This window comes from Homo sapiens, chromosome 4, assembly GCF_000001405.40.
Source record: "Homo sapiens chromosome 4, GRCh38.p14 Primary Assembly".
NCBI lineage: Eukaryota > Metazoa > Chordata > Mammalia > Primates > Hominidae > Homo > Homo sapiens.
The window spans coordinates 138772795-138775486 of NC_000004.12; the positions used below are offsets into that span (position 1 = coordinate 138772795).

General features: G+C 38.0%; 3 annotated features.

Moving 5' to 3' along the window:
* Window positions 640–784: an enhancer, noted in NCBI's record as "145 bp enhancer 163 fragment used in the MPRA reporter construct; PK_construct_4293". NCBI's record gives its function as "activates an SV40 promoter by MPRA in K562 cells {active_cell/tissue: K562}" and the evidence as "EXISTENCE:reporter gene assay evidence [ECO:0000049][PMID:23512712]".
* Window positions 704–721: a transcriptional cis regulatory region, noted in NCBI's record as "GATA motif; enhancer activity is reduced when this motif is scrambled". NCBI's record gives its function as "necessary for full MPRA enhancer 163 activity {active_cell/tissue: K562}" and the evidence as "EXISTENCE:site-directed mutagenesis evidence [ECO:0005528][PMID:23512712]".
* Window positions 2293–2476: a silencer, noted in NCBI's record as "fragment chr4:139696241-139696424 (GRCh37/hg19 assembly coordinates)". NCBI's record gives its function as "represses an EF-1alpha promoter that drives an FKBP-Casp9 reporter gene in an ReSE screen in HepG2 liver carcinoma cells {active_cell/tissue: HepG2}" and the evidence as "EXISTENCE:reporter gene assay evidence [ECO:0000049][PMID:32094911]".

The following is a 2692-nucleotide window of genomic DNA, read 5'->3' on the forward strand; positions in this document are numbered from 1 at the left end:
GTACCAACATAGAAGTGTCCTGGGAAATATAGTTCACATACCTGTAAGTTAAGTTTCAGTTGGATAGAATCATTACACTTATGAAAAATGATTCCTTCTCAGATGACAAAAGGCCAAGTAATCGCTGTTATTCCTACTAAAATGAAGCTATATCTAGGTTTGAAAAATGTTAACTTTGAAATTTGAAAAATTATTTTAAAAATAGAGTACAAATTATATCATAAACACTCCTCTCTGCCACCCAAAATAAACAAACATTAATATCTTGTTATATATGCTTCAGATCTTTATCTTACAAGAAGTGAAGGATTAAACTCAAAGATACTGTCCCCTAGAGCCCCTTCTCCACTCCCATTCCCACTCCTCCCCTCCATCCCAAGAGCAAATTATGGATGCCATTTTAAAATCCACAACAAGTAATGTAACACATTATTTATAGATGTGAAACTAACTAACTACAAAGCAAAAGTATAAAGACAAGGAATAGATATATGCTAAGGTAATTTTTAAAAATAAGAGATGGAAAGAGAATATTTTACTCTTCTTATAAACACTATAAACTGTTTAGACTTTTTTAATTCATATTTAATTCAAGGAAAAGTAATTAAGGATAATCGAATACTTTAAGAAAAGTATTGCACCGCTATAACCTCACGCTTCCTTTTCAGTTGAGTGTGAGAAAATGATAGAAGAAAGTTGGGAGCTGGGAACCAGAGATAAGATAGGGTTTCTTCCTTCCAGCAATCCTTCCTTTAGAAATTGAAAGAGGAGGAGAGGAGGAGAGACCCACAGTTGATCTCTGAGAAGTGAGTAGCTGGAGGCACCAGGATACCAGCCAAGCCTAAAGGATAAAGCAAATCCCTGGACATGGCTTTTGATTCCAAGCTAAGAAGTGCAAGGTAAGCTACAAAAAGCATTCTAATCAGGGCCTAGATGTGTTTGATTACAATAAATCAACATATCTGTAAAATTTGTGAAAAAGCTACCCAATGTTTTCATAGCCTTTATTTGACTTAAGAGCAATTAGGAAGCTTCATTTAAGTACAGTAATCATTAAATCTATTTAAATAAGGTTTTCAATTGAAAAGCAAAAATAATGTACAAATTGGGGATTATACATCAGGAGCCAGATTCGTAATTAAACAAGGAGATTAAACCTATTCATTTATCTCTGCTTTTTTTCTGAAATTTATCCAATATTAATATTAAAGGAATAAATAAATACATTAACTCTCAAGTTCTCAGAGCATGAACGGGGCTTGACCACTGGCCCTAGACTGGGGAGAGAAAAATGGAAGTCTCGGCCAGGCACAGTGGCTCATACCTGTAATCCCAGCACTTTGGGAGGCCAAGGCAGGCAGATCACTTGAGGTCAGGAGTTCCAGACCAGCCCGGCCAACATGGTGAAACACCCCGTCTACTAAAAATACAAAATTTAGCCAGGTGTGGTGGTATGCACATGTAATTCCAGCTACTCAGGAGGCTGAGCCATGAGAATCGCTTGAACCTGGGAGGTGGAGGTTGCAGTGAGCCGAGATCACACCACTGCACTCCAGCCTGGGCAACAGAGCAAGACTCTGTCTCACACACACACACACAAAAAGTCTCTCAGAAAGCAAATCACAGCAAACAAGACAGCAGACAACAACAAAAGAGAAGAATCCACAAAATTCTGGAAGATGAAAAGGAGGTGGACCCCTGGTAACTGAGTTAGTCAAAGAGAGAAGGCTGGAAACTATCATGCTGGAGGAGAGAGGTAAGAAGACAATAGGAGCCAACTCTTTCACATCATAGAATCCCAGAAAGATACAAGATTTGGAGGTCCTGGGAGCCAAATGAGACTGATAACTAACACCCTCCTTTTTCCTCAGTGGAGTACTATGACATAGACACGGATGCCAGACAACGGAAGATCAAATGTCACCTTTAATCTGGAATCCTACATTGGACACTGGACTAGAAAAACATTTGTGGAAAAAGTAATGAAATTCAAATACGGTTCCATGGATTAGCTAATTGTAATGTATTATGAATCACCTGCTTTCTATCTTTGTTCTGTGGTTATGTAAAAAGTTAACATTAAAGAAAGCTGGGGGAGAACATACAGAAATTCTCTGTATTATTCGTGCAAATTGTAGGTCTAAAATTATTTCAAAATTAAACTTTTTAAGTTAAACATCTCCTTGATTGCTGATAAAGTCGATATTAGAAAGCATAGCTTATTCTGCCTGAATTGGATAAATTTGCTGACTTCAGATTTGGGCAGATTTACCTAATATAACTGCAAGCAATACTGAGCCATTTCAAGTCTTACCACAGAATAGAGCCAGCAGGCTCTAAGCCTACACAGGGCCGAGAGCTAAAGAGAGCACATACTCTGCTTCAGACAGGCGAAACTTCAGTTTAAGATCTTGGGATTTCCTCAAAGAAAGGTGAGCAGAAAGGGCTGAGCTATGCCTGCCCAGTTCCTTCCCAGCTCTCCCCAATTAAGTATGTCACTCCTTGTTGCCTGGGGGGGAGTCAAGACGAGAAAAAAGAATCCAGAAGCATTGTTTTCAACGCAGTGCTCTCAGACTTTTTGGTCTCAAGGCCCTTTTACACTATTAAAAATAATTGGAGACCTCAAAGAGCTTTTGTTCATGCTAGTTATATATTTAAATATCTACTATAAAACTGATACTTTTTAGTATTT